Genomic DNA, 22,841 nt, shown 5'->3' with positions numbered 1-22,841 from the left:
ACATTCTAAACTAAAACAGGCTTCTTGGAATCAGTTCTTGTATTTGGGCAGGAAAGGTCTATTTTCTCAAGTCAGGACACAAGCACATAACTCCAGAGCCTTTTGGGTTGGCTGGTAGGAGGGCTCTTAGCCCTCTCCCAGAAATCCCTTCAAGCCCATGTCCAAGCCCCTGTCAGATTTGCTTTATCTTTTTTGGTTGGAAAACGTAAAACTATGCCTCCTAACCTGAGAGAAAGAGACAAATGGATACTGCTGTCTACTTTTCCTGCCACTCTCTTTCCCGGGACCAAATAGATATATCTCCTCTATAGACCTGTTTTATTTTGGGACCATCTGGCTGCTCAGTCCTGGTTCCTGTGAGCCCACTGGCCACCATGCAAGGCATCTTCCTGGGCCTCAGCAAATGGGTCTGTTTAGGTTACTAGTGTTTTCCAGAGGCACAGAAAGAAAATGAGTTGAGGCAAAGCCTGATCTCTGGGATGGTCTATGGTCTTAGATCCCACAGACAGATAAGGGCTAAGGGAAAGAAGGCAGGTGGTCTGTTAGCAGAGTGCCAAAGCAGCAATCCTTGTGTCCTGACACATTGTAGGAAAAGTTACAAAACCCAGCTGTTCATGAAATGACCCCCTTTCCTCTTTGTCCTTCCAGGCTGTCTATGTTCAAGAACTTTGCTCGCTTTCGCATTCTGGTTTGTGGTGGAGATGGCAGCGTGAGCTGGGTCTTATCTCTGATTGATGCCTTTGGATTACATGAAAAGGTAAGTCCCTGGATGACTCAGTTTAGCCATTGCTAGAAAGAGTAGGGGTGTGCAGCTGCCCATCCCAAGAAGTCCCAAGTCTTCGCCCTCCCTGTCTGTAAAATATGTTTCCCCCAGGTTTCATATTCAGCCTGACTGGTAGATTCCCAATCTAAGCCTACTCATCTACACTGTTTTCTGGTTGTCTATCTGTGTGACATCGACAGAAAGAACGAGCAGTGCTCTGTTCCCTAGGCTTCAAAGTGAAGAATTGAAGGGGAGGAGAGCAAACAAAACAGAAGTGGTCTTAGACAGCACTCAACCCCCAATTTCCTTCCCCTCCTGAACCCACTGATTTTCTTCCTTGAGTCTCAAGAGTGGCAGAAAGTTTCCTCTATGTCTCCTTACTGTCCTTAGGCAGCCGCCTTGCTCTTCTCACTCCAGTAGCTTTGTCTCCTGACGTACTTCACCTCCTTGGCCCAGCCCAGATAGAAATTCACAGCTATATTTCTCTTCTTTAAGCATGGCCATGAATATTGTCATATTCCGGCAACTTTTCCCTTTACTTAGTAGGTTCTGTGTTGTTAACACTGGGGTCCAACTCCTTAGGGAAAATTTCACCCAATTGCAAACATCCTCTCATTACCTTCCCCAGAATCTGAAGTCCCGTAAATCCACTGGTTTTAAGACCATAATTCTTCCCAAAGAGTACCCTCTGGGTTCCTTCATGGGTGAAGCTTGGTAGAAAGACTGTCTGAAAAGGGTGTCTCCTTTTGTTCTTGCAGTGTCAGTTGGCAGTCATCCCACTTGGAACCGGCAATGATCTGGCTCGTGTTCTGGGCTGGGGTGCATTCTGGAACAAAAGCAAGTCACCTCTGGACATCCTCAACAGAGTGGAGCAGGCTAGTGTGAGGATCCTAGACAGGTAAGTGGCTGAAAGACCAGGCCCTTGTGCCTCTTCCTGTCCCACATCACTCACATCATCTCAATCAGGAATACTTTAACCTCTCTGATTGATAGAGCCTCATTTCCTTTCTGGCTTCAGTGCAGAGCCATTTGTGGGTTGGGTGGGGCTTGTCTCTTGGGAAGCCAGGGTCTACCATGTATCCTTCAAACATTGAAGCCCCTCTTCAAAACTAAAGGATCCTACTGGGAAGTTAAGGCTGCAGTGGGCCATGATCATGCCAATGCATTCCAGTCTGGGCAACAGAATGAGACCCTGTCTCAAAAAAACCAAAACAAAACAAAAACAACAACAACAAAAACACCAAAAAAACTAGACGATTCTAGAGCAGGGGCCCCATGGATAACGTTCAAGGGTTCAGTGAACCCTCTTCAAATTGCAGAGCCAATGATCTGTTTAAGCATATTCTCTCTTGGGGAAAAGTCTATAATTTCATCAGATTTTCAAAGAAACTAAAAAAGGGATGGAGGGAGAGTTTAGAAATAACTTGCTTACATTGTCACTGCTCTAGAGAAGAGCAAGTACTACCATCCTATCTCCTGAGGAAAAAAAGACTTTCTATGCTGGTGTATATAGGAGCATTTGATTTATTGCTGCCCATAAGGATCTCCTGGGGAGCTTTTTAAAAACATCAACCTGAACCCCACCACAAAGATTCAGTAGGTCTTGGCAGGGCCCTGGAATGTGTATTGTACAAAAGCACCTCAGATGATCTTGATGGTTACCTCTGGTTAAGAAGCACTGCTCTCTGAGAACCCTGTAAAGGGAAGGCAATTCCTTCCATCACACTGGCCTACAGAAGTCATGAGACAGAGGTCCCTCTTATGGTCACCTTGAGATCAGGTGACCAGAGATTGCTTGGACACCCCCTACAACCCACCTCCCCCCACCACATAAACATTTTTACTTCTGTCTTCACCTTTGAAGCACTAATTTTTACCAGTCATGAAACAGACCCTTAAATATCCGTCTTTGAAATTCATTTCAGATGGAGTGTGATGATTCGTGAGACTCCCAGACAAACCCCGCTGCTAAAAGGACAGGTTGAAATGGATGTACCACGATTTGAGGTAACTACTGTTCAGCTGTAATTCAGACCAATATCTTTATTACTCAGTGAAATAATTGGCAAAACCCAGAGAGAAGCTTTTGCATTGTGCATGGATGAGGATGAGATCATTGAGAGTTGGTGACATGTCAGTCAGCAGCTATTTACCAAGAACTATGTTAAGCACTGGGGATATAATTCATTCACTCATTTACTTATTCATTCAAAATATTTATGGAGTAACTACTTTATGTGAGATATTATTCTAGGAGATGTTCTTATATGCTACTGGGTAAAGAAGAATGACATAGTCTACTTGAATAGATGGAAAAATAAATTGTTTTAATCAAGTAGTATGAGTGTTAGTATATAAGGAAGTAGAGGGGGTTGGGAACACATAGCAGGAAGATCTATCTCAGTCTGGGGAAATCAGGGAAAGCCGCTCAGAAGGAGTGCCATTTCACAAGATACTTGAGATCCAGAGGGAATTAACCAGGAGAATAAGAAAGGGGAGGGCTGTTCCACACAGATGGAACAGCGTGTATTGTTCCAAAGGCAAGGGAGAGCATGGAATATTCACGAAACTGAAGTACATTCATAATGGCTGAGGCGTAGGGGCCAGGAAGGGGGCATTCAGGGAGAGTGACTAAAGATGAGGCTAGAGAAGTAATCAGGGGCCAGGCCAGAAAGGGCCTGATAAACCACAGTAGGAAGTTTGGATTTCATCCTAAGAGCAATAAGAATTACAGAAGATTTTTTTCTTATCTTATTATGAAAATTTCTACATTGATGAAAGTTAAAATGGTAGCTCTACTACTAACATTTTCCTATGCGTGCTTTATCACATATCCAGTCATCTATCCAGTCTGCTATCTAAGAGAAGGGGTTTAAGTAGAGGAGTGCCATGGTATGTGGAGAAACAATTGAAGGAATAAAAGACTAGAGGCAAAGAGAAAAGCTAGGAGATGTTGTAATTGTCTAGGCAAGAGGTGATGGTGATTTGGACTGGTGAAGTGGTAGCAGGGATGAGTAGCAGTGGATACATTTGAGACATACTCAAAAAATAGAATTATCAAGTCTTGGTAGATGTTTGAATGTCAAGGGTGATAGAGAGGAAGGAGTAGAAGTTGTAATTAAGAGCACAGACTCAAGAGCCAGACTACCTGGAATTGAATCCTGGCTCTACAATTTATCATCTTTCCCTTCTCTGGGCTCAGCTTTCTCTTCTGTGAAATGGAGATAATAACAGTCTTTATCTCATAGGGTTGTTATGAGGATTATATGAAAAAATATACATGTAGCTTAGAACAGAGCCTGGCACATAGTCAGTACTATATAAGTGGGTGCTGTTATTATTGGTAGTAATATTATTAAAGAAGTTACATTCTGGAATTGGAAAGATGTAGATTCGAATCCAGCTTTATTCCTTACTAGCTATGTAATATGAGATTGTTTGTTCATTTGAAACATGAAAGAAATAGTACCTCCTTCATATGAGGTTTTGATTATTAAGAGAAAATGAAATACATCTAAATTTTTAGAATACGCATAGATCTAAGATCATCTCTGTTGACCTTCAACAAGAATTCTTTGATCATTATCATTTCCAGAGAGGCAGTTGAGTTGCGGGTAGAGTCAGTAAGAAACAATGAGGCTGCAGGGGATGAGGATGGGCAGCACACTGTGTTATTGTACTAAGATTCCAGGGCTAAGAACTCCTTTTGCCCCTAGGCTGCTGCCATCCAACACTTAGAATCTGCAGCCACCGAGTTGAACAAAATCCTGAAGGCCAAGTACCCCACAGAGATGATCATCGCAACCAGGTCAGTCTTCCTTTGGCTCTCATCCTTTGGGGCTGTTCCCAGGTCAGACATGGGGCTCATTTTGATAGCTGAGGGTGTTGAGGCCAAGGAAAATACATGTTTATGTTCCCAAATCAGATTTCTCCCAACTCAAACCCCCTGAATGGAAAGTTTAGGAAAGAAAGATGACATTGAGGTGAAGTCGTCTGCTGCTCCAAAAAGTCAAAATTGCAAGCCAGAGATTTGGGAAGAGAATTATAGTAGGGAAACACAACATTATAGACCATTTAGGAGCATAGCATAGCTCCCTATAGTATAGACACCTTGCTTTCCGTCTTTGACATTAAGAAAGGTCTCTGCAATATCTGCCTATAGCTGCTTTCTCATAACCTGAGGAACACATTCCCCCTTCTAAATATGTGGGTCATTTGTTTCTTCTGGGACTTCTTAGGGGGCTCCTGCCCAGTCGACTACACTCTCCTTTGAGAAAAACTTCCCACAGGGAGAGTCCTCCCAATATAATTGTTTGTACTAAATTAGCTGGGCCCTTGAAACATAGCTGATTGAACCTAGGTGAAAACCTGACCCAAGTTGGACCAAGTGAATTCTCTTTTCTGGAAATTCAGAATTAGTACTAAGAAATGCTGGTCAAGCTCTATTAGGTTCTTGACTTGGGAAGTGGTGTGACACTGAACTAAAGTGGGGATGGAACATATTTCACCATATGCACAGGAAAAAAAAAGCAGAGAGAAAAAGGCTGGGAGCAGAGGGTGAGAGAAAGAGGACAGATCAGGAAAGAGAGAGAGGAGGAGGATGGGGACTGATGACATAAGAGAGAAGGGCTCTGGGCCTCATGGTTCATGTAACATTGTGCCATCTATTTTATCTTTCCAGATTCTTGTGTTCAGCTGTGGAAGATTTTGTGGTTGATATTGTAAAGGCCTGGGGTCAGATAAAACAGAACAACACTGCAATAGTGTCTGTGATTTTGAAAGTAAGTTCCCATTCCTTTTGTCTTATACTCTTTGTGGAGCAGCCAGGGGCCCTTTTTAATAAAAAGCAAACATGCCTCTCACTGGGAATGGTAAAAGAAAGGAAAGGAGGGGCAGCTGTTAAGCCTCCCTGATGAGGAAGGTCTAACCTCATTGAACTTCCATCTTTTGCTAAATGAAGGATGGCGCTCTGCATGCATACACACATACCATGTACATGCCAAGCATCTGCCCACAACTAGACACAAGTGTACATCAAGCAGGTATGTGCATGGTTGTACACCAGAACATGCTTACAAGTATGTACATACGAATACACACTACAAATACATTCACATTTACCTCTCTAACAACAATAGCCAACATTTATATAGCACTTACTCTGTGTCAAGGACTGTTCTGTTTTTAATGTATTAATGTATTTATTCCTCACAACTACCCTAGAATATGGAGGCACAAAGCGGTTAAGAAACTTGCCTCAGATCGCAAACTATTAAGTGATGGAGCTAAGAATCAAGGCCTTAAATCATGCAGCAGATGTAGGTCCCCAAGCCTGTACACATACAAAGACACACACCAAGCACCCAAGCAGGGACACGTTCATATCCAGAGGAGCGTGCCCATGAAAATCCAGAAATATTTGTCTTTCCTCAAGTTTGCATGTTATACATTGTTTTATAGGCCCGTTTGACACAAGAAAGACTCAGCTATATACACTGATGCATGGGGCCACTCAGAAACAAATGATATGTGTTTGATCTCCTAACACCCTTTGGTTATCTCATCACATCTTCCCACCTACTTCTTTTGCTAAGTACTTCATCTTCTCACATGTGGTTTTCTATGCTCAGCATTTATGGACAACTCTTACCCCTCCCTACCCTTCCCCATATCACCACCACTCCTCATTCTGTCCTCTCAAGCATGGGTCCCTCATAACAATGCCCTGTCTCCTTCCTTTCTATATAGAGTGACTTAATGTATGATAGGCTCAGTGTCCTGATCGATGTCCTGGCTGAGGAGGCAGCAGCTACTTCTGCTGAAAAAAGTGCTACAGAATATGCAGACAGCAGCAAGGCAGATAGGAAGCCCTTCATTCCTCAAATAGACCACATAGCCAAGTGCAAGTTGGAGCTGGCTACAAAGGCCCAGAGTCTCCAGAAATCCTTGAAACTCATCATATTTCAAGTTGAACAAGGTAAGGTGGCCAGGGTTGTAGTGACTGAGGTAGGGGAAAGAAAAAGTTCCAGAGGATGGTTTACTGGCCTCACTGACTCCGGGTTTGCTCTCTGACTCTGCTACAAAAAGTCTAGATTCTGCATTCATATTGTATACAAAGTCAGTATTCAGACTACTGATTTGAAAAGCCTCAGTCCTGCTAAGCTGCCCCTTTGGCTCCTCCTACCTCCCAGACAGTCAACTCCTGCTACTCATTTTTGGAAACCAACACTCATCCTATACAATTATATTAATAGATGCTAAGTGACCTGGTTCAAAGCTCTATCAGCTTCCACCACCAGCCATAAGACTTTTTTCCTCCTTCTCCTGTTTCTTTCCAACCACTGAGCCTATGACTATTTTAGAAAGAAAATGGTGTTCAACTCTGCATGTGTTGCACATGATTAATCAGGCACAAGGGCCCTGAGAGTGGTCCTGACAGTTCTAGCATTAATTACCATTGCTCAGAACTCACGACAGTCTGCAAACTTCCCAACTCAGAATGAAAACTCTTCAACTCCCTCAGTTTCTTCATTGAATGTTTTGCTGACCACTTCTTTCCCACAATACTTTGAGAAACAGATCAGAAGGTGGTATAAGAATGAGTGTATTCTAACTGAACTATTGGAACTGAGCAGAAGTCCCATGCAGCAAGGAAGTCCCTTTGGCTGGCCCTTGACTTTTAGCCATGGTGCCTTGCCCTGCCTTGGTACCTTCACGTACAACCTCAGCCAAGTTTCCTAGAAAGAAAGAAAATCTCCCTTCTGCACAGTGGAAGGATTAAACAATCAATTTGCCTCTATTTCTATAATTAGTTTCCAAGCAGTGTGGATCAGATTAAACGGATGTAGCCATAACTGTCGCAACCAACCCTCAGTCTGCTCCATCAACACATATGTTAGATTTAGAGGTGTAGCTTGTGGCTATGAGATAGGAAAATACCTCCCTGGTAGGGGTAGAGATTGAACCTATGAGCTTTGACACAGGCTGAGACTGGGCATCTCAGCTATACAACATTTGGCTGGTGAAAGGAAAGAGACTTCCCAAATGTTCCAGGTGTGGAGTGAGACATTAGAGTGAAAGAGTGGCACAGTCCTAGAGGCTCAATTATAGACAAAAGCCACATAAGTAAATGAACTAATAGAATGGAGGTAGAAGAGCAGAGAGTTTCCCATGCTGATACCCCAATCCACAGCCACAAGCTTCTACTCACAACCACATGTACTGGGTGAGAGAAAAAAGAGTAACCAGTAAAACAAAGAAAGCTCAGGCATGAATATGAAAAAACAGCAACACTGTAAGCAAGCTGAGACTACAAACAGTATCATGGAGGAGACGTGATGGTCGAATGGGAGTCTCCATCATCTACCCACTAACTAAACAAAATAGATGCTCGATAAATGTTCAATAAGTGTAATTAATCTTTCCTTCCTTCCATCCTCCCTCCCTCCTTTCTTCCTCCCTCCCTTCCTCCTTTCTTTTTTGCTTTCCTTCCTCCCACTTTTCTCTATAGCTCTGGATGAGGAAAGCAGACAGACAATATCTGTTAAGAACTTTAGTTCAACTTTCTTCCTGGAAGATGACCCAGAAGATATTAACCAGACAAGCCCACGACGCCGTAAGGATCTTTCTGTCTTCTTCCCTTATTCTAGCCTTCGTCACTGTTGTTTAGCTCCCAAAGAATAAATATGTATTTTTTATGCATCCTCTTTTAGCCATAATCCTGCAGTAGATACCCCTCCGTCTTTCCCAGAAACTCACACTATAAGATCCCATGCCAATGTCCAGAGTAATGACCCCATTAGGAACATTGAAGAGGCTGGCCTGATGAAATACAAGATTTGAAGTTGTTTTCACTGCCAGCAAGCAAGCAGCCCAGCTTTATTCTTCTCTCAGTGGAAGTCCCTATCCATCCAAGAGGATCCCTCTTTGGAATTAGAACCCTTAATATTATCTAGGAGAAAGTCACTGAGCTTGACCCTGCCTCCACAGAGAAAATAGGGCGAAATACAAGTGAGGGGAAAGGGCTTTTTTGTTTGTATCCGTCACCCAAGTGATGTCTTTTGTGTCTAGGTTCTCGTCGTGGCACTTTGTCTTCTATATCTTCTCTCAAAAGTGAGGACCTGGACAACCTTAACTTGGATCACTTACATTTTACACCTGAATCTATGTAAGTATTTAACTCTATCACCTTTTAATGGCTTCTTTCTTTCTCTTGTTAAGAGCACAATCTTAGGATATCCATAGTCAAATCCTTTCTCTTACTTACTAGCTGTGTCACCTACGCAAGTGACTAAACCAGTGTGAGCCTCAGTTTTCTCATATGTAAAATGAAGACCATTGTAGAACTTGCATCATGGGTTTGCTGTATTTATTACATTTATATATGAAAAGTACTTGCACTGAGTAGTGCTTGGCACCCATAATTAAGTGTTATATGCATTTGCAGTTATTATTGTTATTATTATAAATAATTAATAAATGTTAGTTGTTGTTATTACAGAGGACTTGCTTTTTTTCACTGTTGCCCTTAACAGTAAATGGTTGAAGATACTAAAAACTAAAATGGTCACTAGGGGACTAGGCAGCAAATCTAAGGACATCTGTCTCACCAGTTCTCCCTCTTTAGAATATCGGCAGCAGCCAAGTTCTGCCACACTCACTCATTCTGAGTTCCATTAAGAAGATCAGTTTGGACATTAGTTAGAGAAACTCCAATCTCTGGACTGTGGTTGAGGGAGGCAAATCTCATGTGAGAGATGTAAGGTCAGTATGGTAATGAATAAAAAAGTAATCTAAGATTAAACAGCTAAACTGTATCCATTTAATTTCTCAAAAGGACACAGCTAGAAATTATTTATGTTTTCTTAAATAATTTATTTAAGAAAACAATTTTTATTCCTGTCTCCAACCCGCATTCTTGCCCCCACACTTCACCATTGGCTCAAATTTATGTCTGAGCTCTCATGGATCTACCTAATGAATTTTGATCAATAGTGCACTGGCAAAGTGTTTAACAACCTCCTCTCTTGGGGGAGAAAGCCCTGATTCATTTATGGTGTAAACCCTTCCACCATGGCCTATTTAAGTTAGTGATATAATGCCATTGAATCTGGAGTTGGAAAGAGATATGCATAATCAGTTTACATGAGCTGGTGCCAACTGGCTATGGCACACCACTGGTTTTGATGCTGACACCCTAGATGGACACAGGAGACTTGACAAATAATTTGGCTTTTTTGTTATGTACATATCTACCCTCTTTTATCAGTCTTTCCTTCCAAATGTGTGGTCATTTTCCCCTTTGATGTCGGACATCACTGAGAGCAGTTGTGCAGACTTAACTGTCATGGCACGTTTGTGTCTAGGATATTCAAAAGTTCTTTATAGGAGTAAACAGTATTTCCCTTAATACTACATATGAAGAAAATATGGGCCACTCATACATAAGGCCTCCAAAGATGACTAAAATCATCAATGTTGCTTCTTTATTATGAGTTCCAATCCCACTGAAGCTTCCCAACTGGCGAGGCACTCCCTCTTACAGCTAATAAGCTAGTTGTTCACACAAAAGGATATCTACATGTGCCTCTCAAAAATGTTATAGTTAGTGCCCAGTGTGGAGGGGGCCTTCCCTCACTGGTTTTCCATCATGCAGATTCATCTTCATGCCCAATTGATAGCGGCACTTCTTTCCTGCACCAATGTCTGTCCTCTTCTTTGAATAATTTCAGACGCTTCAAAGAAAAATGTGTCATGAACAACTACTTCGGAATTGGACTGGATGCTAAAATTTCTCTGGACTTCAACACCAGAAGAGATGAACACCCAGGGCAATACAAGTAAGGAAAAGAAACTCCCTTCCCTACATGCAAACACACTATCACAATACACATACGTATTCCTACATTCTCTACCTCTCAGACAAGCAACAGAAAGAAAGGGACCCACTGGAAGTAAAATGCATTGGCCCCAAGACTAGTCTAGCGGGACAGTGTGTGCCAAATTTTGGATGACTGCACTGGCATCCTAAACTTGAGCTGCCTTCAAATCCAGACCTGTGGATTTCTGTGTAAACACAGCTACCTGTGTTACTGTTACTGACAACAGATTATGTTGACTCAATTTAGCAAATCGCCCACCTTTGTTCTGTCTGTGAAAGTTTAACCAGGTTTCAGTAGTGGCTTCAGATCTGTTTTCACTTGACAAAGTTGCAAAGTATCAAACATCCCTCTATTTGTTTTTGGTGTTCCTAACCTGGTTCCCCTGAACCCGTTAATTTTACCCTATCCAGTGTTGGCCTGCATGGCACCTTCTCGCACTTTCATACTTCAGACAAGGCCTAAGTCAGTCTCAGAGTTCTTGTGGTACATTGAAGCTATAAGTAAAAAGTGTGACACCCCACCCCACAACACCCCACCCTTGCCACCACCACTAGAACCTCTTTCTCAAAGCAGGCCTGGGCTGAGAAACAGGAACTTTGTCAGATATGTGATTTGCAAATATTTTCTCCCAGTCTCTTGCTGGTCTTTTCATTTTCTTAGTGGTATCTTTGAAATACAAAAGTATTGAATTCTAAGGCGGTCCAATTGATCAGTTTTTTTCTTTATGGACCATGCTTTTGGTGCCATCTGTAAGAAATCTTTGCCTAATCTGAGATCTTAAAAATTTGCTCCTAAGTTTTCTTCTAAAGTTTGTATTGTTTTAGCTCTTATTAATACATTTAAGTGTATGATCTACTTTGAGTTAATTTTTACGTATAGTGTGAGGGTCTAAGGTAAGAGTCTAAGTTTATCTTTTTGCCTGTGGATATCTAATTATCTCACCACCATTTTAATTTATTTATTTGTTTATTTTTTTTATTTTCTTGGAGACGGAGTCTTGTTCTGTCGCCTAGGCTGGAGTGCAGTGGCATGATCTCGGCTCACTGCAACCTCTGCCTCCTGGGTTCAAGTAATTCTCCTGCCTCAGCCTCCCAAGTAGCTGGGACTACTGGTGCATGATACCATGCTTGACTAATTTTTTGTAATTTAGTAGAGACGGAGTTTCACCATTTTGCCCAGGCTGGTCTCGAATTCCTGAGGTCAGGCAATCCGCCCGCCTCAGCTTCCCAAAGCGATAGGATTATAGGCATGAGCCACCGCGCCCGGATCTAGAGCCATTTTTCAAAACAGCTATCCTTTCCCCAGTGAATCGTGTTGGCACCTTTGTCAAAAATCAATTGACCACAAATGCAAGGGTTTATTTCTGGACTCTCACTTCTGTTCTATTTATTTATGTGTCTATCCTATGCAAGTACCACACTATCTTGATAACTATAGCTTTACAGTAGTTTTTGAAATTGGGAGATGAAAGTCCCCCACTTGATTCTTTTTTTCAGAATTGGTTTGTTCTAGGTATTGTACATTTTCATATACCTAAACTCCTATTTTTGTAGATGAGAACACCAAAGTGCCCAGAGAATGAATGGTTTAAACAGTGTCTCAATAATTTTGTGCTAGCCTTCTGACATTTCAAAACTCATTCCATGTGATGATGGCTCATTTCTGTGGCTCTACTTTACAAGCTCCAAGTAAACTATATCCAGCCTTTCTAGTGATCGTAAGTGCCCCACCTATTTCTATCAGAGATTCCACAGTCAACAAGACGCTGTCCTCCCCACCTCCACCTCAAGTCACCTGATATCCTTTCCTGTCTCCTATTTTTCTCCACTGGCTCCTCCTCTAAAATCTCCCTACAAGCTTAGATCTGTTCCATGGCATTGAATTAGGCATTTAGTATATGGATCTGGTGTTTGGAAAAGTACTTCACTTTGCCAGAAAAGTTGCTGCTTCAAAAAAAATTGCACTCTAAGAGTCACGTGTTTCAAATGAAATTGATTCCAAGCAGCTGAAATCTCCTGGAGTAGCACAACTAGGGTAGCTGGTGTGTACCAGCCAGCTACGCTCATAGCTTTTTATGAGCATTGATGTCTGAATATAGCCTGTTTCTTCCAAGTCTGGACCAATATTGGTAGCAAGCAGAAATGGAAAATTTATTTATTGATAGGATACTGAGGCTTCAAAGGGGCCCAGGAACCCATTTCTTCAAGTGTTTGCATTGGATATCAGTTACATTAACCGCTGTCCAGTTGCCATTTAGCATGACTCCTCTCTGTAAGAAGGCATTTGAGAAGTAAGATGGTTTTCCTTCCTGTCTTTTTCCACCATTTATCTATATATCATTCACCCTCTGCTTTCTTAATGCTTACCTCCATGTAGTAGCCGCCTTAAGAACAAGATGTGGTATGGCCTTCTGGGAACCAAAGAACTTTTGCAGCGCTCTTACAGGAAACTGGAAGAACGAGTGCATTTGGAGGTTAGTGGAAAAGCGGGTAGTCTTTCCTGGGTATGGAGAAAGGAAATCTCATGGCCTTGGGAATACCGTACATGCTGATTCTTCCTGAGCTTTAACTCTGTGATCCTCACAGCTCATGGGAGGAAGGCATGAAGATAGATTTCCATGTAATGGAAGAGAAGACAGAGCCCTTTCCCCATCTCTGTAAATGTTCCTTCATGTTGCTATCTAAAGATCCAGCTAATGAGAGCTACTCTTTTCTTTCAGTGTGATGGAGAAACCATCTCCTTGCCAAACCTGCAAGGCATTGTAGTGCTCAACATTACCAGCTATGCTGGAGGTATCAACTTCTGGGGAAGCAACACAGCAACCACGGTTAGTATGGAACAAGGAATGGGGAGGAAGAAAGGCATGATCCCACTAAGGTCTCTCTGAAGGAAGCATTGTGCTAACTGAAGTGAAAAATAGACAATGGGAGAAGAGGAGGTGGTCCGAGAACCTTTATTAGCAGCAGCTGTATGATCAGTTTTTCAGGCAATTACCATCCGAAAGCAGAAAATTCAACCAAAGACCTCAGGATAAGGTCAACTCGTAGGTGTTGCCTGGGCTTTGGATTTTCCATTCCTCGGGTCTGACAGATCCTTTAAAGGCTATCTAGACCATGCTTTTTTTTTTTTTTTTTTTTTGAAACGGAGTCTTGCTCTGTCATCCAGGCTGGAGTGGCAAGATCTCAGCTCACTGCAACCTCCGCCTCCCAGGTTCAAGTGATTCTCCTGCCTCAGCCTCCCGAGTAGCTGGGATTACAGGCGCCAGCCACCATGCCCGGCTAATTTTTGTATTTTTAGTAGAGACAGGGTTTCGCCATGTTGACCAGGCTTGTTGACCTTGAACTTTTGGCCTCAGGTGATCCACCCACCTTGGCCTCCCAAAGTGCTGGGATTACAGGTGTGAGCCACTGCGCCCGGCCAAGGCCATGCTCTTTTCTCCAAGGAATTCTGTCAGTAAAATCTCCTGGGATGCTGACCATGACCCCTTTACTCTGAGTTTACCCAAGAAGGTCATAAGGCCAATAAGACTGGCCTCAGGTATTTATGATGCTGGATTGGAAAAGGAGGGAACTGGCTAAGAGTGCAGTACCCTTTTCCCAGATTGGCTTTCTGACCTCATCTTTTTCCCTTTTAATAATGAAGTGTTTCCACTCTTCATGAGCTAGAAAAATTCTCACCAGGAGCCTTTAAACATGCCTTCTTGTTATAGACAGGGTGTGATTTCTCAAGGGTGGGAGATGTGACACAGTTCTTCCTCCTCAGGAATATGAGGCTCCTGCAATCGATGATGGGAAACTGGAGGTGGTGGCAATCTTTGGTTCTGTGCAGATGGCAATGTCCCGTATCATCAACCTGCATCATCATCGCATTGCCCAGGTAGGCAGGGGCTGGGTGGGCACTGGGAAGGGGCTGAGGTTTTTGACTGCTACCCAGGATGTGGGATAGTCCCAGGAATTAACTGGGTAGAAGAATGCCAGGGTGGAGTGAGCAGGTTATCTGGTGGGCAGTAAAGTGCTGACTGAGGTTGGAGGCAGAGGTGGCAGAAGCCAATGGAGCAAAAAGCCCATAGGAAACAGGCATTTCTTCCTGGGATGATCTGATTCACATCCTTTCCAGTCCTGCTTCAGATACACATTCAAGGCCATAACTATGAGATTATCAGATAGAGTTACAGCAGTTGCCCCATTTTTCTCTCCCATTCTTCCTCATTTTCTCTGGCAGTGCCATGAGGTGATGATAACCATTGATGGTGAAGAAGGTATCCCAGTGCAGGTGGATGGGGAGGCCTGGATTCAGAGACCAGGCCTTATCAAAATTAGATACAAGAACGCTGCCCAGATGCTGACAAGAGATCGGGTAAGGGGGAAAATCTTGTCTTGGGCTCCTATACTGCCTCATCCATAGTCACTTGAGTACTGAATATTTCCACTCAAGCAGAATTCCTCAAAAGGAGGTCTGTGTGCCCCTGGCATCAGAGTCACTTGAGATGCTGGTTATAAATGCATTCTTGGGCCCCCACACCAGACCCACTGAACCACATAGGGTTGCATAGTTCCCAGGAACCCAAATTTGCAAACAGGCTCCTCAAGACACTCTGATATATACTGACATTTGCAAACACTGTCCAAGAGAGTGAGACAAGGAGCTTCCTCCCCTGGTTTTCGACAAGGTTATCCTCCTCTTTCCACTGCAAAGAGAGCTAAAAGCGTCAGATGATTATGGAAAAATCTTCTCCTTCAGCAACAGATTCTGCATTGAACATGGTCTTTAGGTGTCTCTAAGGTTCCTTAAAATGCTGCATTAATACATGTCATCCACTTCAGCTAAAGCTTCTAAAGCTTATAAAGGAGCTATTATTGATCACATATTCAATGCTTGGAGGTTATCTTGCACTCTAACCTGTGAAAAGTCCATGGAAACAGCAATAGAGAAAGGAAGAGAAGTCCAGTTTATAAACTGCCTATTCTGTGCTAGGCATTTTACATTTCTCTCATGTAGGTTCTCTCCACAATCTTATGAGGTGGATACACTTATTCCCATTTTACAGATGAGGAAAATGAGGACCAGAGAGGTTAAATAATTTGCTAATGGTCACACAACTAGTAAATGACAGAAACACGATTCAAAATTAAATTAGATATGTTTGGCTCTAAACTGCATCACCACATATTGCCTACATTTGGCAAAGAAGGGAGCATGAAAGGTGCTCCACTGTCTTGTCAGTCATGATGCCTTCATATGGGAGCTTCTAGAAACCAGACATGTGTATGATCCAAGCCTGGTGTCCCAAAATCCAGCATACTCAGAACAACAAAAACTAAAGGGCATAGTCCAGAAGAGATTGAATAAAATGATGGATACTTGTATAGGTATATAGATGGGTATGACAGGGGGAATGGACAGGGGGCCCTCCTTCCCCTCTACCCACTGTACCCACATACCCATTGCCCACAAACGTCAGGCTCACAGACAGATCTGTCATGTGCACTAGTAGCTACAGCAATCATTAGGATATGCCACTGTATTCATCTCCAGGACTTTGAGAACTCAATGAAAATGTGGGAATACAAGCATACTGAAATTCAAGCTGCCCCTCAACCCCAGCTGGACTTCCAGGACTCTCAAGAGAGCCTCTCTGACGAGGAGTATGCCCAGATGCAGCACTTAGCTCGGCTTGCAGAAAACCTCATCAGCAAGTAAGTGGACTGGCCTAGATACAGGGCTGAGAATCCTAAGAAGGCATAGGGAGAAGAAGCCAATTTGTGTCTATTGGCTACTAGGGAGCCTGGCCTCAGAGAGGAATTTAGCTTAGAGCTCTAAAAATTGAGCGGGACCCTCACAATCCAGGCAGGAAATATTCTCTGTGCTCAGCAATAAGCCAGGTTAGACATCTCTCATTAGACCCAGGGATTAATTTGGATCTCTTGTTGCTAATCCAAACCCAATAGAACTAAGACTGTTTACCCTTGCCCTTAAATATCAGGAGGGCCTTGGAGTTCCTAGAGTCAGCTGCCCTCCTCTGTTCTAGCCTTCTACCCTCCCCAAATTCCCAATATCTAAATTCAGGTGAGACAAGGATGGGTAAAGGTAAATACCTAGAGAAGAGTAGAAACATTTGCTAGCATAGGTGGCTACCTAGAGAAGAGCAGAAATAACAGGAGGGAGTCATGAGTCCAAGTCAGGTACCCAGGGCTTTCACTTCTACCCTTACCCAAACCCTCACCAGTGCCCCAGGCCAGAAGTCCTTCAGAAATCCCAACTCATCTATCTGTCCTTGCTTTATTACAGACTTAATGACCTGAGCAAGATCCACCAGCATGTGTCTGTCCTCATGGGTTCTGTGAATGCCAGCGCTAACATCCTGAATGATATATTTTACGGCCAAGACAGTGGCAATGAGATGGGTGCAGCTTCCTGTATTCCCATTGAAGTAAGTAGAAAGGAGTGAATTAAGGAAAGGAGTCAAACCAGATAGGAAAGAGGATGAAAGGGAAAGAAGTGGAGCCGGAGGCTGGACGGAGAAACTGGGCAAATATGGCAGGAAACTGATGGAGAGAGTGGACGGGAAGGCAGGCATTCCTTGACTTGTTACAGGTCCAAGGTGGTTGCTGGGGGAAAATCACAGCAGATTTCATCAGCCTGAGAGCTAGCCCTCTTCCCTGATAGCCATCCCTCCCACCAGCTTCAAGGGAGAAATGGACAATAAACGAAGAGAAACTTGTACTTGGCCCTTCCTTATCACAAGTAGATCTCTGTATAACCTGATAAGGGAACACCTGTCATTGGAACTAGAACTTCCGGGTGCCTCGGTTTTCCTCTTGAGGGAAAGGTCCATATCAGGCAGGACACTTAATGTTAAATGTGTCACCCCATGGCTTTGTCCACTGCCAGAATTGTTAACTGATGCTTTTAAAAAGTAACTTTAGTGCTAGGCGAAAGATATAATTGTGTCAGGGCCTGATTACAGTTGGAGGAGGCCTACAACTCAAGGCCTGGAGTTGCAAGAAGAGAGATGTTAGGCCCTAATTTCACCTGCCCTGGAATGATGGTTTTGGCCTAGGACAACAAGTAGCCTTAAATTTACCCTCTGGTTTGCATATTTCCTATTTTCCTATACCCACTGCAATCAATCAGTGATGCCAAAGCCAAGCCGTGCTCTGCCACTTCACATAGTACTACACAACTACTGTACCAGCAGTTGTCAGCTGGCACTCGTTCTGATAGTACAGCTCATGCTGTGCTAGTTGTACTATATTTTGAATATTGCTTTTTCACCTATAGCCACATCCTACTAGCCTGCTTCTACCTTCCCACGGAGAAGACAGCTGCATGCTTACTAACCAACAACTCCCCTGTCTTTGTCTTTTTCTCTCCTTTTCCGTTCTTTTCCTCTCAGACTCTAAGCAGAAATGATGCCGTAGATGTTACATTTAGTCTTAAAGGTCTCTACGATGACACCACAGCTTTCCTGGATGAAAAGCTGGTGAGTGCAGGGGGTTGGAGTCTGGGAGGGCAAAGTATTCTATCTGAACATGGTCATGGTCTTGTGCTTGGTCCAAGGGCACTGGAGACCCGTGGGAGCATTTTGGCCAGGTGCTTGCCTGGAAGTCCCTACTGTGTCACCTAGGATTGTTGTTGGTTGTATGACTTCATGGGTTATGCTAATCCACAGGGACTACCATACTCTTGAGAGAAAGTCTCAACCTCTCCTTTGGTAAATGTCTTGTGGGTTCAGACCAGGCCAATAAAAAGTAGAGTGTTACCGTACTTGATACAGCTCCAGTAGAAAAAGGTGAGCTATTTTGAGCTGCTTTGTACCTCCCAAGTTTCTACATGCCTCTTTCACCCTATGAGAAGGTGGTGTGGAATAGTGGGAAAATTGGGAGATTCCTGGGTTCAAATCTCAAATCTGCCACTTACTAGCTATTAATATATTCGTTTCCTAAGGCTGCCATAACAAAGTATCAAGAACTAGGTGTCCTCAAACAACAGAAATGTATTGTCTCTCAATTCTGGAAGCTAGAAGTCCAAATCAAGGTGTCAGCAGGGCCATCCTCTCTCTAAAACCTGTAAGGGGTCCTTCTTTGCCTCTTTCTAGCTTCCAGTGGTTTTCTGGCAAGCTTTGGTGTTCTTTGGATTGTAGATGCATCACTTCAATCCTCTATCTTCACATGATGTTCTCTCTGTGTTTCTCTGTCTTCACAAGGCCATCTTCTTATAAGGACACCAGTCACATTGGATTGGGGCCTACCCTATCCAATATGACCTCAACAACTAATTGCATCTGCAATGACCCTATTTCCGAATAAGGTCACATTCTGATGTACTGGGGATTAGGTCTTCAACGTGTCATTCCTGGGGGGACACAATTCAACCCATAACACTAGCTGTGTGACTTCACCTCTCTGGGTCTTAGTTTCCATATCTACAAGATAGGAATTATAATCCCTACCTCTCCAGGGTGTTGTATATTAAGTACCTATCAGTGCCTAGCCTATACTAGCAGCTTCATAGTGCATTTTGTTAGTTCTAGGGAGAACAGACTGAGGCTCCATTTTTGGGCTAGAAGGCTAGTTGCATGTTTCTCAGAATGCAAAACCCATAGGCATACTTGGTGAGTGTGCTCTGATGAGGTGACTAATTATGATCATCCACTTTAGGGTTGGCTGGTAAGGCCCTGAGGCAGGTGCTGTGCTTGCCTCTCATCTAATTAAGGTTTATTTGAAGAGGGGCTTCAGAGTTGATATTGCAGAAGTGCATCTATTTCCTCTTTTCATTTGCTCATCTAATTGGCACACTGCACAGGAGGCAGAGTGGCTAAGGCAATCAGGTCAGACTGTCCCAACATCTGAGCCCCAAGCTAGTCTTTGAGCCTCAGACAACATCAACAGAAGTACTTTCTATATATAGGCAGAGCTCAATAGCCTTGCCCATTTGGGCAGCAGGAAATAGGTGCGTTTGGTCTCTTGTCGCCACTTTCCCGAGGCTCATGACCTGAAAATTGGTTCACACCAACCAACAACCCAACTTGAGCCCATACCACACTTGAGAAGTCTCCCACCTCATAGGGCCCAGTGAGGACTTAAACACACATACACATCCACACATCCAAATGTGGCCAAGAAGCAGGCAGCAGCTAAGAATGACCATGTATCTCCAGAAAGGCTGTCCTAGAGGTGAGATGGAGATACAGCTTGTTTCATTTGGGTGTTATTCCTCCCCTTGAAGAAGTAGGGCAGTAAGGAGCTCAGAGTTAGTAAAGGGAAGTAAATTGATGACGAAGTGAATCCCTCCCAGTAACTCCCACTTCCCTTACTTGGCACACACATGTCCCGTGCATCTAGGGCAGTTTGTATTGTCTTAAGTTACTAGTTGAAAAGCAAAAAACATTATTTGTCGGCACTGACTTGCTCCTCCCTCAGTATCCCATAGTGACTGACCATAACTTCCTACCCTGTACTCCTCTCATTCACATGCCACCCGTTTGTGACAGCCAGCAAGGCTCAACCTATGGCTGGAGCAGCAAGTGGCCTGTGCACAGCAAGAAGCCACATAAGTGCTAGATTGAAAGTAAAGTGCATGCCAGGGAGTAGAGGTGAGGCCAGGTTAGGTGGGCTGTAAGCATGTGAGGGCTGAAGATATCTTTGCCCATCTGTTCTCCCAGCTCACTACTTACTGGAATGTGAACCATCTCACCTGTGTTGATGTTCTAGAACTTGATTCTTCTGAGTCGAAGATGGTCCCAAAAGAATCCATTTTAAGTCTTCCATGGACTGTACAAAGTTCATCTTGTGGGCGCTGGGGGTTACTAGGGAGCACTTAAATTTGCTTCCTGAACCTGTGGGACAAGCCATCTAGAACTCATTTCTTAATTAGTCATAGTGATAGCTGGGGGCTAAAGCATGGCCTGGGGAGACAGACCCTCTTTTCCAGGAGGAGAAAGTTGAGCCAGCCTCTCTCTAGCTCTCTCCTTGCTTCACAAAACAACCTTTAAATTACAGTAAGCATGTAATAAAGATTCCCTCAGCATCTGGCCTCCCCACATGTCTTTGATAAGACAATGTTGTATAGAGGGCAGGCTATACAGTTAAACAGACCTGGGTTCTGTCTAGCTGTGTGATCTTGAGCACTAAACTTCTTGGAGTCTGTTTTCTCACCCATGGAATGAAAACAATAGTACCTTGTAAGGTATTGTAAGGTTACCGGGAAGATGGGACAAAATTATGTATGTACAGTGCTTGGCATACAGTATGTGCTCAAAGCTAGGTAGCTTTTACTTAGGGGAACACTGAGATGTCTCCAGGGACTGGAGGTCACAGTAGGACCCTTGTCCTCAACCCTAAGCTGTAGGGGTGAAGCTCAGTGTTAATTGATACTAATCAAAAGACCTCTCTGCTTGCAAAACTGTAAGCATGCCCAGCCCCAAGGAGAGCCCCACCATTTGGTTGTTTTCTGGATATTCCTTTTGAGAAAGAAAACAGCTGGCTATGGGCCAAAGGGATACAAGTTGGCACCTTGTGGTCTCTTGGTCACTAGCAGGGACTGGGAGTGGGGGAGAGTGTAAGAGTCTACAAAAGTGCTAGGCATTGGACACTTACTCTTTTTCCTGTCTGTACCAGCTGAGAAGTGCTGAGGATGAGACTGCACTACAAAGCGCCCTGGATGCCATGAATAAGGAGTTCAAAAAGCTATCTGAGATTGACTGGATGAATCCAATCTTTGTTCCAGAGGTGCGTAATCTTGGGAATTGGGAAATAAAGGGAAAGAGGGATTCTTCCTTAGTGCCTTCCCTTCCAGTGTGGGCCAGGACATGGTGACTGTAGTACAGGGGGTCCAGTGCTGGCTTTAAACTGAAGGTTACTGGAGCTTCCTCCCTGCCCACCTCCCCCCAATCTCTTCATCATAAATAGATAGGGTAAGGCAGAAAACATGTAGAAAAATTAGGTGACTGTGGAAAAATAACCAGAAAGAAGGCTCATTCTGTAACAAGAGATGATCAAGAAAGAATAAGCAAGATAGGTTTTTTTGTGTGTTGTTTTCCTGGCTGCAAATTCCCCCTCCCTGCTCAGCACCTGCTGCCAGGACTGAACTTCATCTGGTTCATACCAGTATGGCCATGCCAGTTTACAGCCAATACCTGTTCTAAATGGTTGGTGCCCAGGCCATACTGGTGGTTAAATCTTCCAAATATTACCTCTCCCTGCTGCTTTCCGTCCCTCCCACTCTGGGTTTTCTGACAACAAAGTTAATCTCAAAATTGTGTTTTACTGAGACCAGTAGTAAAACAAGCATACTTTAGCAGGCCTAAGCTGGAATTACAGAGCCTGCATGATCTGCACAGCAGAGAGCCCAAGTTCATAATTAAGAGTTATGTTTAGAGAACTCTCTTTGCATTCCAGACAGGGAAGCAGCTGGCCTGGCAGGCAAGGGTCTTCCCTATAAGAAGGTATTTGGCCAAGGCTCACCAAACTATATGTCTGAAGGAAGAGGTGTTTTTTCCTAATTCATGCAGAGATTCCATGTGAGCTAGCAGTGGCGCTAGCAATCTCATCCTTCTAATCCCTAGCCACATGAGCTCAGGTGAAATATTTAACCTCTCCAAGCTTCTGCTTCCTCATCTCTGATACAGGGATGTTAATAACCACTTTGCAAGGTTGCTTTGAGAGTTGTATGAGAGCATTTATTAATGCTAGCAAAGCACCTGGCATCAAGTAGCCTCTTGGTAAGGATCAATTGCTTTCCTAGGGCATGCGACCAGTGATGGGGGTGTTTCTCATACCTGGATAGAGAGCAGATCTCCCTGTTCTCTGTAGCCATTCTTGTTTACCACTTTTCCAGGACTCCAGCAATTATCTTTGAATATTAGGCAACTAACATTTTGACCTTCCTCTTGTGGTTTCTCAGGAAAAATCTTCGGACACTGACAGTAGAAGCCTCAGGCTGAAAATTAAGTTCCCCAAATTGGGAAAGAAAAAGGTAGAAGAGGAACGCAAGCCTAAATCAGGCCAGAGTGTCCAGAGTTTTATTGGTAAGTCTCCCCCACAGGCAGAGGGGTCATGAAGACTTCCCCCAACAGCCTGGCTACCTCCCAGGGACCTGAAGCCCCCATTAGAAATGTTTGTGGGAATGGTGATGATGAAGCGGGAGGCCATCTGGGAGTCAGCAGTAAGTGATACCAAGCCATATCTTGGACAAGG

The 22,841-nt window shown here is 43.6% G+C and overlaps 1 protein-coding gene across 1 annotated transcript in view; it reads left to right on the top strand.

Moving 5' to 3' along the window:
* DGKK (diacylglycerol kinase kappa) overlaps window positions 1-22,841 on the top strand; it is a 105,417-nt gene that overhangs the window by 77,728 nt on the left and 4,848 nt on the right. Inside the window, exons 10-27 of the mRNA NM_001013742.4 lie at window positions 649-757; window positions 1,522-1,661; window positions 2,689-2,770; window positions 4,480-4,571; window positions 5,445-5,544; window positions 6,512-6,740; window positions 8,274-8,378; window positions 8,834-8,930; window positions 10,495-10,602; window positions 13,021-13,117; window positions 13,364-13,471; window positions 14,407-14,520; window positions 14,866-15,000; window positions 16,180-16,340; window positions 16,933-17,074; window positions 18,041-18,127; window positions 21,264-21,374; window positions 22,549-22,672. Of these exons, the coding sequence (NP_001013764.1) occupies window positions 649-757; window positions 1,522-1,661; window positions 2,689-2,770; window positions 4,480-4,571; window positions 5,445-5,544; window positions 6,512-6,740; window positions 8,274-8,378; window positions 8,834-8,930; window positions 10,495-10,602; window positions 13,021-13,117; window positions 13,364-13,471; window positions 14,407-14,520; window positions 14,866-15,000; window positions 16,180-16,340; window positions 16,933-17,074; window positions 18,041-18,127; window positions 21,264-21,374; window positions 22,549-22,672 (2,141 nt within the window). The remainder of the gene's footprint in view (window positions 1-648; window positions 758-1,521; window positions 1,662-2,688; window positions 2,771-4,479; window positions 4,572-5,444; window positions 5,545-6,511; window positions 6,741-8,273; window positions 8,379-8,833; window positions 8,931-10,494; window positions 10,603-13,020; window positions 13,118-13,363; window positions 13,472-14,406; window positions 14,521-14,865; window positions 15,001-16,179; window positions 16,341-16,932; window positions 17,075-18,040; window positions 18,128-21,263; window positions 21,375-22,548; window positions 22,673-22,841) is intronic.

The sequence above is a fragment of the Homo sapiens genome, chromosome X, assembly GCF_000001405.40.
Source record: "Homo sapiens chromosome X, GRCh38.p14 Primary Assembly".
In the NCBI taxonomy this organism is placed as follows: domain Eukaryota; kingdom Metazoa; phylum Chordata; class Mammalia; order Primates; family Hominidae; genus Homo; species Homo sapiens.
The sequence above is the reverse complement of the archived record's forward strand: the minus strand, read 5'-3'. Positions and strand labels throughout refer to the sequence as shown.